At 35.2% G+C, this 17,741-nt stretch overlaps 1 protein-coding gene across 11 annotated transcripts in view; it reads left to right on the top strand.

Moving 5' to 3' along the window:
• TTC29 (tetratricopeptide repeat domain 29) overlaps positions 1 to 17,741 on the top strand; it is a 239,248-nt gene that overhangs the window by 169,880 nt on the left and 51,627 nt on the right. For 2 of the 11 annotated variants that reach the window (XM_047416242.1, XM_047416241.1), the window contains exon 13: positions 12,066 to 12,171. The exons of the other annotated variants lie outside the window; for them this stretch is intronic. In XM_047416242.1, the coding sequence (XP_047272198.1) occupies positions 12,066 to 12,133 (68 nt within the window). In that variant the 3' untranslated portion in view covers positions 12,134 to 12,171. The remainder of the gene's footprint in view (positions 1 to 12,065; positions 12,172 to 17,741) is intronic. 11 annotated transcript variants of the gene reach the window in all.

Here is a 17,741-nt window from a genome sequence, read left to right as displayed (position 1 = left end):
ATGAAAAATGAATTTCTCAAAGGGTAATATGGGATTATGGAAAGAGACCATTTGAGAAATATGGGATTATGTAAAGAGACCAAATCTATGATTTATTGGCATCCCAAAAGAGAGGGCGAGAAAGCAAGCAACCTGTAAAACATATTTTAGGATTTCATCCATGAAAATTTCCCAACCTCGCCAGAGAGGCCAACATTCAAATTCAGGAAATGCAGAGAACCCCTGCAAGATATTATACAAGACAACCATCCCTAAGACACATAAACATCAGATTTTCCAAGGTCAAAATGAAAGAAAAAATGTAAAGGGCAGACAGAGAGAAGGGGCAGATCATCTACAAAGAGAACCCCATTGGGCTAACAGCAGACCTTTCAGCAGAAATGCTACAAGTCAGAAGAGATTAGGGGCCTATATTCAGCATTCTTAAAAAAAAAAAAAAAGAAATTTCAACCAAGAATTTCATATCCAGCCAAACTAAGCTTCATAAGCAAAGGAGAAATAAGATACTTTCAGACAAGCAAATGCCAAGGGAATTCATTACCACTAGACCTGCCTTACAAGAGGTCCTTAAGGGAGTGCTAAATATGGAAAGAAAAGATTGTTACCAGCCACCACAAAAACACACTTAATACATAGACTATTGGCACTATAAAGCAATCACACAATCAAGTCTGCATAATAACCGGCCAACAAAATGATCACAGGATCAAATTCACACATATCAATGTTAATCTTGAATATAAACAGGATAAATTTCTCAGGTAAAAGGAACAGAGTGGCAAGTTGGATAAAGAAGCAAGACACAATGGTAGGTTGTCTTTAAGAGATCCATCTCACATGCAATGACACCTATAGGCTCAAAGTAAGTAAATGGATGGAGAAAAGCTACTGAGCAATGGAAAACAAAAAAGTAGGGATTGCTATTCTAATTGTTAGAAGACAAACAGACTTCTAACCAACAATGATCAAAAAAGACAAGGGCATTATATAATAGTAAAGGGTTCCATTCAACAAGAAGACCTAACTATCCTAAATACATATGTACCAAACACAAGAGCACCTAGATTTATAAAGCAAGTTCTTAAAGAACTACAAAGAGACCTAGACAACCACATAATAATACTGGGAGACATTGACACCCCACTGACACCATTAGACAGATCACTGATACAGATCTGAGATACAGATTGAGACAGATCATTGATAACTAACAAAGATATTCAGGGCCTGAACTCGACACTTGACCAAATGGACCTAACAGACGTCTACAGAACTGTCCACCCAAAACAACAGAATATACATTCTCCTCCTCTGCACATGGTGCATATTTTAAAATCTACCGCACAACAGGCCATAAAACAATCCTCCACAAATTCAAAAAAACAGAAATCATGCCAAGTACACTCTCAGATCACAGCACAATAAAAATAGAAATCAATACAAAGAAAATTGCCCCAAGCCATACAATTACATGGAAATTAACCTGCTCCTGAATGACTTTTGGGTAAACAATGAAATTAAGGCAGAAATCAAGACATTATTTGAAAATAACAAGAACAAAGATGTAACAGAGTCTCTGGGATGCAGCTAAAGCAACATTAACTGGGAAGTTTATAGGCTGAACACCCACATCAAAAAATTAGAAAGATCTCTCATTAACAACATAACATCACATGTAAGGGAACTGTAGAAGCAAGAACAAACCAACCCCAAAGCTAGCAGAAAACAAGAAATAACTAAAATCAGAGCTGAACTGAGGGGAATTAAGACATGAAAAACCATGCAAAAGATCAATGAATCCAGGAGTTGGTTTTTTGAAAGAATAAATAAGACAGATAGACTGCTAGCTAAACTAATAAAGAATATCCAAAGGAACACAATCAGAAATGACAAATGAGTCATGACCTCCAACACCACACATATACAAGTAACCATTACAGACATGAACAACTCTATGCACACAAACTAGAAAACCTAGAAGAAATAGATAAATTCCTGGAAACATACAGCTTCCCAATATTGAACCAGGAAGAAATTGAATCAATGAACAAACAAATCAGAGGTTCTAAAACTGAATCAGTGATAAAAAGCCTATGAATAAGAAGAAACCCAGGACCAGATGGATTCACAGCTGAATTCTACCAGATATATAAAGAAGAGCTGGTGCCATTCCTACTGAAAGTATTAAAAAAAAAAACCCTGAGAAGGAGGAACTCCTCACTTATTCATTCTATGAGACCAGCATCATCCTGATACTATAACCTGGCAGATATACACAAAAAAAGAGAAAACTTCAGGCCAATATCCTTGAAGAACATAAATGTAAAAATCCACAACAAAATACCAGCAAACCAAACCCAGCAGTATATCACCAAACTAATCTATGATCAAGTAGATTAGAGCCTATGATCAAGTAGTCTGTAAGCTCTGGTATGCAAGATTGGTTCAACACATGCAGATGAATATATGTGATTCATCACATAAACAGAACTAAAAACAAAAATCTCATGATCATCTCAATGGATGCAGAAAATGTTTTCAATAAAACTGAATATCTCTTCAAGTTAAAACCCTCAACAAACTGGGCATTGAAGGAACATACCTGAAAATAATAAGAGGCATCCATGACAAACACACAGCCAACATCATACTGAATGGTCACAAGCTGGAAGCATTGGTTTTGAGAACCAGAACAAGACAAGGATGCCTACTCTCAACATTCCTATTTGACATAGTACTGGAAGCCCCAGCCAGAGCAATAGGGCAAGAGAAAGAAATAAAATTCATCCAAATAGAAAAAGAGAAAGGCAAACTCTCTGTTTGCAGACTAGATGATACTATACCTGGAAAACCCATAGTCTCTGCCCAAAAGCTCCTTGATGTGATAAACAACTTCAGCAAAGTTTCAGGATACAAAAATCAATGAACAAAAATCAGTAGCATTTCTATACTCCCACAAAGTCCAAGTTGAGAGTCAAATCAATAAAGCAGTCTCATTCATAATAGCCACAAAAAGAATAAAATACACAAATACAGCTAGCCAGAGAGGTGAAAGATCACTACTATGAAAATTACAAAACACTGCTCAAAGATATCAGAGATAACACAAATGAAAAGATATTCCATGCTCATAGATAGAAAGAATCAATATTGTTACAATGGTCATATTACCCAAAGCAACTTACAGATTCAATGCTATTCCTGTCAAACTGCCAACAACATTCTTCACAGAACCAAAAAAACCAACTATTTAAAAATTAATAGAGAACAAAAAAGAGTCTAAACAGCCAAGACAATCCTAAGCAAGAAGAACAAAGCTGGAGACATCACATTACCTGACTTCAAACTATACTACAAGGTTATAGTAACCAAAATCACATGGTACTGGTACAAAAACAGGCACATAGACTAATGGAACAAAATAGAGAGCCCAGAAATAAGGCTGCGCACCTGCAATCATCTGATCTTTGACAAAAACAAGCAATGTGGACAGAATTCCCTGTTCACTAAATGGTTCTGGGATAACTGGGTAGCCATATGGAGGAGATTGAAACTGGACCCCTTTCTTACATCATATACAAAAAATCAACTCAAGGTAAAATCTAAAACTGTAAAAACTCTGCAAGATAACCTAGGAAATACCATTCTGGACATAGGACCTGGCAAAGATTTTATGACAGAGATGCCAAAAGCAATTGCAACAAAAATAAAAATTGACAAATGGAACCTAATTAAACTAAAGAGCTTCTGCACAGCAAAAGAAACTATCGACATAGTAAACAGACAACCTACAGAATGGGAGAATATATTTGCAAACTACACATCCAACAAAGGTCTAATATCCAGAATCTATAAGGAACTTAAACAAATAACAAGCAGAAAACAAACAACCCCATTAAAAAGTGAGCAAAGGACATGAACAGACACTTTTCAAAAGACATACACGCAGCCAACAAGCATATAAGAAGATGCTCACCATCACTAATCATTAGAGAAATGTAAATTAAAATCACAATGAGATACCATCTCACACCAGTCAGAATGGCTATTATTAAAAAGTCAAAAAATAACAGATGCTGGTAAGGTTGTGGAGAAAAGGGAATGCTTATATCCCACTGCTGGTGGGAATGCAAATTAGTTCAGCCATTGCGGAAGGCAGGGCAAAGAATTTAAAACAGAACTACCATTCAACCCAAAAACCCTGTTACTCGGTGTATACCCAAAGGAATATAAATTGTTCTACGTAAAGACACATGCATACATATGTTCATCATAGCACTATTCACAACAGCAAAGACATAGAATCAACCTAAATGCCTATCAAATGGTAGACTAGATAAAGAAAATGTGTTATGTATACACCATGAAATACTACACAACCATGAAAAGGAATGAGATCATGTCCTTTGCAGCAATATGGATAGAGCTGGAGGCCATTATCCTAAGTGAACTAAGACAGAAACAGAAAACCAAATACTGCATGTTCTCGCCAACAAGTGGGAGCTAAACATTGAGTACACAGGAACACAAAGAAGGAAACAGCAGACACTCGGCCTACTGGAGGGCAGAGGGTGGTAGGAGGGACAGGATTGAAAAACTACCTATCAGATACTATGCTTATTACCTGGGTGACAAAATAATCTGTACACTAAAGCCCCATGACACACAATTTGCCTATATAACAAACCTGCACATGTACCCCTGAATCTAAAATAAAAGTTAAAACAAAGAAACATCTGAGCAACATATAGTCTTTGACTAAAACCTAACCATAAAACTGACAACTAAAGTCCACATGTTTCTTAATAATGAAGGCTTAGCTCTCTGCTTCTGGGCATATTCATATAATGTGCCTGTGAGGTCTTACACTGTATCAAAAATTATGATGTGTATATTTAATCAATGGCTTCTGTTCTTATTGAGTATTAACATATCAAAACAGTATGTGCTAATTGGACATAATAACAGCTAAAACTTTAGAACTAATAGAAAATAATGACTAACATTTATTGAGCCCTTGCATGTTAGGCCCTATGCTAAGCAATTTTCATGCAGTTTCTCATTTATTCTTACAAATGTATTATAAGTTAGTTATTGGTAAGCTTCTTGGCAGCAGGGACCTAGGCTACCCTGCTTTCCTCTGAATACTGCCTGACATCAAGTTGGCTTGGGACATATCGAGAGAAAGACTAAACCAAACAGATATTATTGCTTCCATTTTACACATTAGAAAACTGAAGCTTAGAGATATTAGGGGACACATTGGTAAGTAACATAGCTGGAATCTGAACCCAGGTTTGTTTGATTGCAGAATCCATGCTTTGAACCACACTATCTTTGCCCTACTTGGTCACTGACTCTTGAGTTATCTGAATTGGGAGAATGTTATCTCTTATGCAATTATGCTTAATTTTGAACTTCCTAAAGACCAGAATTCAGTTGAGTGTATTTTTGTTAAGCAATTTGTAATTTATTTAAGTCAAAGACATTACAGGCCAATTCGAGGAATATTTGCCTCCAGTTTCTCAAATATGAAAGAGTTAAAAAAAAAAAGTGAAAACGTTTTCCCATCAAGGTGGCAGTAGAAAACTGATGTGAAGGAGGATAAATGACCCTACTACTAAGTGTGGTTCCTGGCAGTGTGGACATTACCCAGAAGGCTTTTTTTGAGAAATGCAGAAGCTCAGACCCACTCAGATCTACTAGATCATCCTCTGCATTTTACAAAATGCCCAGAGTTCTCTACTCTGGCTGCACTTCAGACTCCACTGTTAGTTTTTTTAAAGCTACTGATGCAGAGACCTCACACCAGGGATTTGGATTTAAATAGGCATTAATTGAGTGTCATTCAGAAATTTTTTTTTTCTAAAGTTCCCCAAGTGAGCCTAAGGAACAACTAGTGTTGAGAACCGCTGGAATTATAAGCCTGAAAACCATGAAGTCCAGATTCTTTTCCCAGTGCCCCCACTTGCTTGAGCAAATCATCGGCTTCTCTAGGTCTGCCTTTTAATCTATTTAATAAAGATGATGTTTAGCCTGCCTACTTAAGGGGAGTTGTAACAAACAGACACAAAAAGCTTTGAGAAGTTTAAAGCACCATTGCTTAGCATTATTTTTATTGTGCTTAACTACAGTTATCATCTATTGTGCAGTATCATTTTTTTAGAAATTTAGAAACAGTGAAAGCAACTGAAGCTGTTCAAGTTCCTTAAACTTGCATAAGAAATAACAGAAAAGCATCAGAACTAAACCCAATTCAGGGTCACTGTTGTGCAACACTGATTCTCGGCCCAAAGTATAACTAAAATGATTATTGGATGGAGAATATATCACCAAGTGAAGACAGACAACACATCTGTTCAGTATTGCTTAACTTACAGCAGAAGTGGGGACTGACTTTCTTTTGTTTTTAATGGTGTGTAAAGTGCTTTTGCATCTACATCTTTCTTCTGGGTAGGCATAAAAAATATATGCTTAATCCCTATTTTAGTATCTAAAAGCTAGAATTAACCAATGGTAGATCCTTATACTACCTTTCACTAGCATATTTTTTGTAGTTATACTTAGTCAAATCCCATAATTGATAAAGTAAGAGAGAAACCATTTTTTAAAAAAATTCTAGAAATCAGGAAAATATTAAGCTTGAATATTAGATTTTTATCAGATATAGTATTTTTATTGCTGATAAGTCAGTGTTTGTCTAAAAGGAAAGTCAAAAATATTCGCAATCACTACAGCAAAAGATTGACATTTTAATGTCTTATGTGTTCAAAATTTCAACCACAAACACCGATACTAAGAATTTTATTCAAAATTCTGAGATTATAGGGCAATATGTAGTTTTTAAGGAAAGAAAGATTTGAAGTGGGGAGAAATGCTTGAAAGCAACCATTTTGTCGCTGAAAGTTAGGCATAGTTAATAGGTTAATTTCTGTTTATTGAATAAGAGAGCCCAATGCTGATTGATATAGTAATTTCAGTGTTTGCTATGGCAAATATTTAGCTCATTATCAGTTTTAATAGCATTTTGCAGAACAAGCCTTTTCTTGACATCTAGAAAATACTATTAAATTTCCCTGCATAGATACATTGTTATGACATGCAATAACTACTTGAATATAAAGGGGATTAATAATTTAAAAGGTGTTAACAAATTAGGGCCATCATTAAAAATAGACTTTGAACCATTTTGTAGCAAAATCAGATTGAGGTAATGCTCTGCTCTTATGATAAAGAATTACTGCATTAATTCTGCAAAGTGAACTTATTGCTCCTATTCGTCTCCAAAACCCTGGAGCATTAAAAGACAGGAAGAATGAAATGATCACTGCATTTTTTTTCAGGCACAACAGCTCTAATATTTCCATCACAGTTTCACAGCTCAGCCAGCCTAGTTGTGTTAATGGAGGGGAAAAAATCTCTTCAAAATTGTCATCTTTTTCTTTAATTTTGCTTTTAGACTGTCTTATAAATTTGAGCCAGATTTTCTCAGACAGTTTATAGTAATAAAGAGAGAATTATATTTAACTTGAGCAACTTCGGTTTTGACTACACAGCTTAATACTGTTTTGCTTCTGACTTTTCAAAATGTAATCCATGAGTATGTTGATGATCTTATTTCCACATTTGTTACCTACTGATGGTTGGAGTTAATTTAGCTGATGGGGATAGCTAAGCAGGGTCCCCTTCCTCATCGACTGCTCTATGGACATCCCTCCTAAAACTAAGCACTTGTCAGTACACAGGACAACCTCACAGAAATTGTTACTTGGTCAAGAGAAAATGATGGCTACACTCTCCTATTTGAATCTTCAAACTTAATACTCAATTTTCTTTACTTTCTCTTCTTTCCTCTAAAAAAATTACATATCATAACACATTTTGAAATGCTATTTTACTTCCTGACAAATAAATTCCCTGCACAACTATTGATATAAACTGGAAAGAAAATGAAAATTGGTGTAGGAATTGCAGCTATAATATATATGTTCATAGAATCATGGAATATTAAAATGAAAATGGACCTAGAAGATCACCTTATCCAACCCTTGAATTTTAAAGGTAAGGAAGCTGAAGCCCAGGTATGTTAAATAGATGGTTTTCAACACACAAAGTTATGAGTGACAAGGGGGACCTCTCCATTTTTATTTTTGCAATAGCAGACATTATTCAGGTCTGAAATTCCCCTATTTTACAATATGAGCTGAGCATTTTATTGATTACAACTGTGAAGTAGAACAAATACTGCACATAGATGTAGCTGACCTAGAGCTTGACTCGCAAATTATGCATGTATCCTTGAGAAACTTACTTGAGCTCTTGTTAGTGTTAGTTTACTTATCCACTAAATATAGACAATAATATCCTACTTCAGGTATGTTATGTGAATTAACAGAGTACATATATGCCAAACAGCAACCTATAGATCTTTATACAAATATAAGTTATTATCATTTAGAAGAAATGTGCGCTTCCACTAAATTAAGGCATTTTGTTATCTGGGAGGGGAATTATTAGTTAGCTAACACATTAACAAGGCCCTGAAGCAATGGGACAAAACAATAAGTTTTCATTTGGGGGAGAAGAAAGGTAGGGAAAGATCTAAGGCATTGACAATTAGAACAGAACAGTGAGAGACCCAGAGCAGTTGTCAAAAACATCATTAAAAAATGGCTGCATTTTACGGTTGAGAAAATGAAAGCTTGGAGAGGTTAAGCAATTTGACCCCAGTGAACCAGGCAGAAGATGGTAGAACCAGGACTAAAACCAGGGCTCTCTGATTCTAGCTATCAGATATGATTAACTACAAGGGGAATGATTTAAAGTATCATAAATAGGATGAAATCTTTGCACTAAGATCATAAAAGAACATTCTTTTCTCATGTCAAATGCTAGAAGTGACATGTGTTACGAAGGAAACCTAGGGAAGCTCCAGTGGAATCTATAATACCAAGTTGCTAAAGCAATAGCTAAATGATGAATAAATGTTTTGTCTACAGGATGATTTCATGAATTATTCTAAAAGAATTCCAATTGGAATTTGTCAATTATCTTTTTTTTATCTTAAACAATTAATTTAAGGACTGGACAACTTCTAAATGTCTATCTCTAATAATATCAATTGCCCACTACCTAACTACTTCTTCCCAATTCACAATCCCTGTTACAAGCCCTTCTAACCTACCTAGGGGCTGCATTTTCTTTTTGGGTTGTAAGTTGATTGAGAAAAAATTATTTAACAATTTACTGAATCTTGTAGCTTCATACTTTGCCAAAGATCTTATAAAACCTAACACTAAAGTACATCTATACATAATGTCATTTAACCCAGTTTTGAAAATCACTGCAATGTAATTTAGCAATAATGAGACTAATAGCTTTATCACAAACCCACTTCTAAAAAATACTAATTCATTTTTTAATTTTTTTATCAGACAGGTTGTCCATATGCAAGAAATACATTATTTAAATAATTATTTAGAAATATTTAACCCTACCTATCCCTGCAAGACAATAAAGCTGCTTTCACCCATCAATGCTTTAAGAATGTCAGAAAGAACTATAAAAGTTATATTTGAGAGTACCAATTGGTGTAGAAGTAGAGAAGAAGAAACAGCTATGAAAATCATAACAAATGAAAAGAAGAATTTGTTCTGTGGTACTTGCCAACACAAAGACCATGTTTACACATAATGATCTCCTGTTCAGAAGCATCTTCTCTCATGTGCCAAAACTATTTGCTAACATACACGTTGCTCCTCTGCTTGGGGTTCCATAATTAGGTACTTCTTTAAGTTAACAGTTTTAAATGCAAACACCCATACAATGGTCATGGCCATTCATACACTAGAATATATTGGCTTAGTCTGATTGTTTTCTTTAGCTGAGCACAGTTGAACTAAGACACTGTGAATCCGAGTAAATAATACTTTGACTCAAGACCTCTCTGCTTCCCAGATTTACTTCATTTCTGAAGCCCCTAACTTACCTTTAGTGTTTTGCTCTCCTTGAGAATCCAGCTACCTGACCTGCATATGTGTTTATGGCAGAGGCCATATATTCCGAACAACAGTCCCCTCTAGAGAGTTGAAGCTTTAAAAACATTTCTGTCAATGTTATTGACAGTTGATTTATATCCTTTGAATTTGCACTCCCAGACCAAGTTCCTTTAAAAAAAAATCAGTCATAGAGTATCATCATCATTTAAAATGGTAAAATTGGGCAAATGCCCAGGTCTGTCTGTCTTATGAAGGCTGCTTGTCTAATCCATTCACTCCGTTTGGGGCCACATTACAACCCAAATCAAGTGGGAGTGTTATTGCTTAAGTAGAAACAAGAAATACCTTGTTATCACTGAAGGATCACGTACTTAGTATGCAGAGATGCTTTCAGGAAGAAATTACAGACGATATTCTCATTTTTGTAGGTAAGATAAAAATTAGGGTTTTAGTTCCAAACTTAGCCCATTAGAAATTAAATCGTGGGGCTGAGCGCGTTGGCTCGTGCCTGTAATCCCAGCACTTTGGGAGGCCAAGGCAGGTGGATTATTTGAGATCAGGAGTTCGAGAAATTAAAACCCGGTTAGTCAAATGCATTTTGCCTAAATGTTACCTTATGGTTTTTGGTCTCTTTTAAAGAAATGACCGAGCATTTAAATAATAATTTCACTTTATAAAGAATTACTTTCCATGAAAATTGTTATCTCTTTCATGTGACTTTGTCTTAATAACACACCTCTCTTTTTTATATTGAGGATTTAATGTTCTAAATTTTTTAAATAGCAGAGAATTACATTTTTAACATATCTGCATGTACATGCCTTTAAGTTATAAAAGACCAACAATTTTAAAATAAGCCCTAAAATTCTTCCAAACTTTTAATTGCATTTTTAAAATCTATAAAATGGTAAGTTAATACATTGAGGTCTGACATAACATTAATGAAGACTTTTTTGGTAATGCATAGAAAAATACACCAATAATGCTTATGGCTAAACTTAAAGTTAACAAGGCTGTACATGAAACGTGAGATCATGAAATCAGCAAACTGATGATCATCATGGAAAAGAAAAAGAAAGAGACAAACTCTCTTCGCAGTTGCTGTCACTATCAGTAGGCAATAAGAAAAAACACCAACGTTAGTGGTACCTCAGGACATGATCATCCTGTTTGAACTGAATTTATTCAGTACATTTCTGTTCCTCAGCACCACGTCTCCAAGCATTGCTTTACTCAACATTGTTAAAGCCTAAGTCTGGCAGTGATCCCTTTATTATAGTTTGATCATCTGCAGGTAAAACGTCAAGTACAAGCGATGAAATAGAAGCAAATGATACCTATGTTCGAACATGATTTTTTTAAAATAGGAAAAATTCTTACATAACTGAGCCTATGTATGGGTACGCTCCTAAACTGATTCTATTTTAAGGTTTTTTTTCTTTTTAAAATAATTATTTTTATTGAAGTACTTATAAACCAATTAACCAGGGAACTGAATGTCAGTAATGCCTTAAGAAACATTACTTATTGAGGTGATAAAGGTTTGGAGTTGTGGTAGGATATGATACTATCTGCCCTCCTCTCTCCTCCTCCCCACCGCCACAATGAGAGGGGTTAAGGCTGCATCTCTCTCGAGTAGCCCCTTGAGGTTAGCTTAGAGCAGCGGTTTTGCTTTGGAAAAAGCTGTCAGCCCTCTGGGCTACAGGAATATGCTGTTTTTAATAAGAATCTTGCACAATACAGTAGCTATGAATTGGAATCTATTTTCTCCCCTATACCACTCTTGAAATGGAACGGATCACAGGGTGATTGAATACTGAATGCAAAACTTGTTCTGAATGTTAGAAATCACCAAGAATTTCAAATCCATATGTTAAACTTTCAAAAAGTGGTTTAAGAGATGCTTTTGGGGTATATCCTCCATGTTGTGCACTTGAAACATTACTATGTTGCATTGCCATAGCAGGGGGATTTAAATGTGAGAATTGAGTGAGGTAGGTGCAGTCATTGTCCCCCCCTCTGCCTTAAGCCATCAAACCTGTTATTTTGTGTGTTATTTTTTTCTAGACCAAAGTTTAGAACTTGTGTGGAGTCAGCCTATAAATATTAATGCACCATACCTGAAAAAGGAATAAGATACAGATTGAAAAGAAGAGGCTTTCTGGTGAAGTCTGTAAGTGTAGCAAGTTTGGAAGTCACGGTATATGACTTCCACTTTCAGAACTCACTTTAGATGGTAACCAAGATAAAGAAACTGATATCACTTTTACTTCTGTCATCCTACTATGCTCTCTCCCCTGCCTCTGTTATTCACTGAAAGAATATCTTTTTCTGAAAATGTGATATTTAACTAAATCTATCTGAACATTATTAGATAAGTACACCTGCTCATCGTGTTGCCTTAAGAGCACTAACCTAAATTCAATTGCTCATCACCCTTAAAAAACCCTTTCCAGTCTCACAATACTTAAACTTCCAGTCATTTGAATATGGATGAATGTTACATTCTACCCTACCCTACACTACATTCTGGTAGAGCTGGGAGGCCTGAGATCTATAACCACCATGCAGTGGGCTGACATGGAACTGGATTATCATCAACAAAATTCCTTGTAGTTAAAAAAGTCAGAAATAGGAGAGAATGGGAAAGTCTGTGGGAATCAGGAAAATTCTTCATTCAAAACTCCAAGAATATATAACTGTTGAACATAAAGTTAATGAAAAGACTTATCTCTTCCTTAACTTTATATTTACTTAATGCAGTCATATTTTGGGGAAGGAAAAAAAAGGAAACATCAGAAGCATAGTACAAGCAACAGGGAACTGGTTGAATTCAGTGTGGCTAAAGAGCCTTGTAAGGCCTAAGAAACTGAAAGCTGCACAATTAAAATAAAGAGAGGTGAGAGAAGTTCTGGGTATCTAAAATTCCAAAGTACTTTAGAATAACCAAACAGGTGGGCAGAACTATTAAAAATGCAAAGGAATTGACTGCTATGAAAACTTCCGCCCTAGGGAATTGACTATAAGCCCTAAATCCAGAAATAATGTTAGCTAAACAATTGCAGCTCAAAGTTGAAATAACAAAGCTTTGTTTGGGTTGTCACATTGTAAATTATGGGCATATATTGCTTATATATTTTGTTTACTTTTTTTGAAATAAATAAAAAAATATTTTCCATGTTCTGGAAAATATACCAGGAATCCAAAAAAGTGGAAAATTATACTTCGGTTATATCCCTTAGTAGTAGACAAGCCAGGCAAACTATGAGTCTGAGGTCACTGAGAAATCAAAATGCATTTTATGATTACTTGAATCATGTTTTTAGAAGGAGGAGAAAAAGGGCAGATGACTAGGCTAGATAAACAATTTCTAAATCCAGATGTTTCAAAGCAGTGATCCTGTGTTAATTATGGCACCTTTTCTTGAAATAGAAATAGAACATACCAGTTAATAGAATTACTGTTTCAGTGAACCCTAATTGTGTATTTAACTGTTGCCTACTATATACGTTATCCAAGGAGATGATTCTTTGTTGACTGTAACAGCAGTGGGATCTCAGTAAGAGATAGCCAGCCAGCTTTTACACAGACTACATTGCCTTAAGAGACATTGAGACTCACAGGAAAAAAAAAAAAAAAAGAAATTACACTGATCCAATAGATATACTGCTGAGAGCTTTCTATTATATTCCAACCTCAGACGTTGTACCACCATTAAATTCACATATTCAGGCCCTGGGAATCAGGCCAGCCTGACACACAAGTTTGGCTGAAATGAATCCACTGTATTAGTTTTTGTGAAAATGATGGAGCTCTGTGGATTCAAGATCAGTTCTATTTTTCAAGCAGTCAAAGCCCTATAAAACTAGGCAAATAAACCTTAATAAGAGACGAAATGAAAGGAAGCCTAGCAGAGATAAAATTGAATAACAAGAGCAAGCAGACTGCCATAAGACATGATTTGAGCCCAGAAAAAAAACACAAGGTCATTTATTTGGCAGGTTTTTGTTTTTGTTTTTGTTTTTTTAAATCTGCTAACAGGCAACATTTTTATAAACGCCTTTTAAGAAGAATGTCCGTCACAAAGGCATAATTTTAATCAGAATTCTTACAACGTTTCTCAAATTCCTAAGGGCATTCAGCTCCACTCAAATTAGTAACTCAGATAAATCATCATTAATTAGCTAATATAAGCCAGCAGGTGGTTTTGAGCCCAGAGACATTCCCTGGTTATTTAAATTATGTATACTACACCATACTAAAAAAGAGTAAGTAAAAGGGAGCAAAGAGACAAGTCTACAAAAAAAAAAAAAAAAACTACTCTGTTTAGGGAAACTACTCAACTAAAATCTCCTGCAACCTCCAAATCTAACCCAGTGGAATACAAGGCAGCTTTGACCCCCTAACTCAAAAAATATTATTCACCCACACTTAGCTCTGATTTCAACATTGATTATGCATGCAGTGTACAAAGTGTGCATTGGAAGCTTACTTGAATATATTTGTTCTAGAAAAATTACCAATTACTAAAGAGTAAGAGAGAAAGAATTGTTTTCATGCATAATTTGTGACACAAGAGAATCTTCTTCATAATCTTTATGCCCTTGTGTTCTTTAATTGACCCACTCTAATTTGTGGAATTCAGGGTTACTTCCTAAACTGTAAAAAAAGATAAAAAGACCTACGTAGCTGCCTATCACCTAAGATTATATTTGTGATTGAATGATGTAGAAGATGGTTAGTTTGTATTTTTTTCCATTAGTTATTATTGGGGTTCAGGTGGTATTTGGTTACATGAGTAAGTTCTTTAGTGGTGACTTATGAGATTTTGATGCACCTAACACTGCACCATATTTGTAGTCTTCTATCCCTTGCCCCAACTCCCACTCTTCCCCCAAAGTCCCCAAAGTCCATTGTATCATTCTTATGCCTTTGCATCCTCATAGCTTAGCTCCCACATATCAGTGAGAACATATAAACAATGTTTGATTTTCCATTCCTGAGTTACTTCACTTAGAATAATAGAATAATAGTCTCCAATCTCATCCAGGTCACTGTAGATGCTGTTAATTCATTCCTTTTTATGGCTGTGTAGTATTCCATCATATATATATATATATAGTATTCCATCATATATATATAGTATTCCATCATATATATATATAGTATTCCATCATATATATATAGTATTCCATCATATATATATAGTATTCCATCATATATATATATATACACATATATATGTATATATATGTAGCTAGCCAATGATCCCAGCACCATTTGTTGAAAAGGGTGTCCTTTCCCCACTTTATGTTTTTGTTTGCTTTGTCAAAGATCAGTTGGCTCGAAGTATTTGGGTTCATTTCTGGGTTCTCTATTCTGTTCCATTGGTCTATATGCCTATTTCTGTACCAGTACCATGCTGTTTTAGTGACTATGGCCTTACAGTATAGTTTGAAATCAGGTAGTGTGATGCCTCTAGATTTGTACTTTTTGCTTACTCTTGGTTTGGCTATGTGGGCTCTTTTTTGGTACCATGTGAATTTTAGAATTTTTTTTCTAATTTTGTGAAGAATGATGGTGGTCTTTTCATGGGGATTGCATTGAATTTGTAGATTGCTTTTGGCATTATGGTCATTTTCACAATATTGATTCTACCCGTCCATGAGCATGGGATGTGTTTCCGTTTGTTTGTATCATCTATGATTTCTTTCAGCAGTGTTTTGTAGTTTTCCTCATAGAGGTCTTTCAACTCCTTGGTTAGGTATATTGCTAAGTATTTTAAATTTTTTGCAGCTGTTGTAAAAGGGGGTGAGTTCTCAATTTGAATCTCTTCTTGGTTATTGTTGGTGTATAGAAGAGCTACTGATTTGTGTACATTAATCTTGTATCCAGAAACTTTGCTGAATTCTTTTTATCAGTTCAAAGAGCTTTCTGGGGGAGTCCGTAGGGTATTAAAGGTAAACAATCATATTGTCAGCAAACAGTGACAGTTTGACTTCCTCTTTACTGATTTGAATGCCCTTTATTTCCTTCTCTTGTCTGATTGTTCTGGCTAGGACTTCCAGTACTATGTGGAAGAGGAGTGGTGAGAGTGGGCATCCTTTTCTTGTTCCTGTTCTCAGAGGGAATGTTTTCAACTTTTCCTCATTCAGTGTTATGTTGGCTATGGGTTTGTCATAGATGGCTTTTACTACATTAAGGTATGTCCCTTGTATGCCAATTTTGCTGAGAGTTTTAATCATAAAGCGATGCTGGATTTTGTTGAATGCTTTTTCTGCATCTATTGAAATGATCATGTGATTTTTGTTTTTAATTCTGTTTGTGTGGTGTATCACATTTATTGACTTGTGTATGTTAAACCATCCCTGCATCCTTGGTATGAAACCCACTTGATCATGGTGGATTATCTTTATGATATGTTGTTGGATTCAGTTAGCAAATATTTTGTTAAGGATTTTAGTATCTATATTCGTCAAGGATATCAGTCTGTAGTTTTCTTTTTTGGTTATGTCCTTTCCTGGTTTTGGTATTAGGGTTATGCTGGCTTCATAGAATGAATTAGGGAGGGTTCCTTCTTTCTCTATCTTGTGAAATAGTGTCAGAAGTATTGGTACCAATTCTTCTTTGAATGTTTCTTGCTAATTTTGTAATTACCATTTCAATCTCACTGCTTGTTATTGGTCTGTTTAGGGTATCTAATTCTTCCTGATTTAAGCTAGGAGGGTTGTATTTTTCCAGGAATTTATTCATGTCTTCTAGGTTTTCTAGTTTATGTGTGTAAAGGTGTTCATAGTAGCCTTGAATGATCTTTTGTATTTCAGTGGTGTCAGTTGTAATATCTCCTGCTTCATTTCTTAGTGAGATTATATGGATTTTCTCTCTCCTTGGTTAATCTTGCCAATGGTCTACCAATCTTATCTTTTAAAAGAACCAGCTCTTTGTTTCCTTTATGTTTTGTATTTTTTTATTTCAATTTCATTTAGTTCTGCTCTGATCTTGGTTATTTCCTTTCTTCTCTTGGGTGTGGGTTTGGTTTGTTCTTGTTTCTCTAGTTCCTTGAGTTGTGACCTTATAGTGTCAGTTCGTGCTCTTTCAGTCTTTTTGATGTAGGTGTTTAGGGCTATGAACTTTCCTCTTAGCACTGCCTTTGCTGTATCCCAGAGGTCTTGATAGGTTGTGTCATTATTGTCATTAAGTTCGAAGAATTTTTTAATTTCCATCTTCATTTCATTTTTGACCCAATGCTTATTTGGGAGCAGATTATTTAACTTCCATGTATTTGCATGGTTTTGAAGACTCCTTTTGGAGTTGATTTCCAGTTTTATTCCACTGTGGTCTGAGAGAGTGCTTGATATAATTTCAATTTTCTTAAATTAATTGAGGCTTGTTTTATGGCCTATCTTATGGTCTATCTTGGAGAAAGTTCCATGCGCTGTTGGATAGAATGTGTATTCTGTGGTTGTTGGATGAAACGTTCTGTATATATCTGTTAAGTCCATTTATACCAAGGTATGGTTTAAATCCATTGCTTCTTTGTTAAATTTCTGTCTTGATGACTTGTCTAGTGCTGTCAGTGGAGTATTGAAGTCCCCTGCTATTATTGTGTTGCTGTCTATCTCATTTCTTAGGTCTATTAGTAATTGTTTTATAATTTTGGGAGCTCCAGTGTTAGGTGCATATATGTTTAGAATTGTGATATATTCCTGTTGGACAAGGCCTTTTATCATTATATAATGTCCC

The sequence above is a fragment of the Homo sapiens genome, chromosome 4 (genome assembly GCF_000001405.40).
Source record: "Homo sapiens chromosome 4, GRCh38.p14 Primary Assembly".
Taxonomy (NCBI): Eukaryota; Metazoa; Chordata; class Mammalia; order Primates; family Hominidae; genus Homo; species Homo sapiens.
This window is presented reverse-complemented; position numbering and strand designations above follow the sequence as displayed.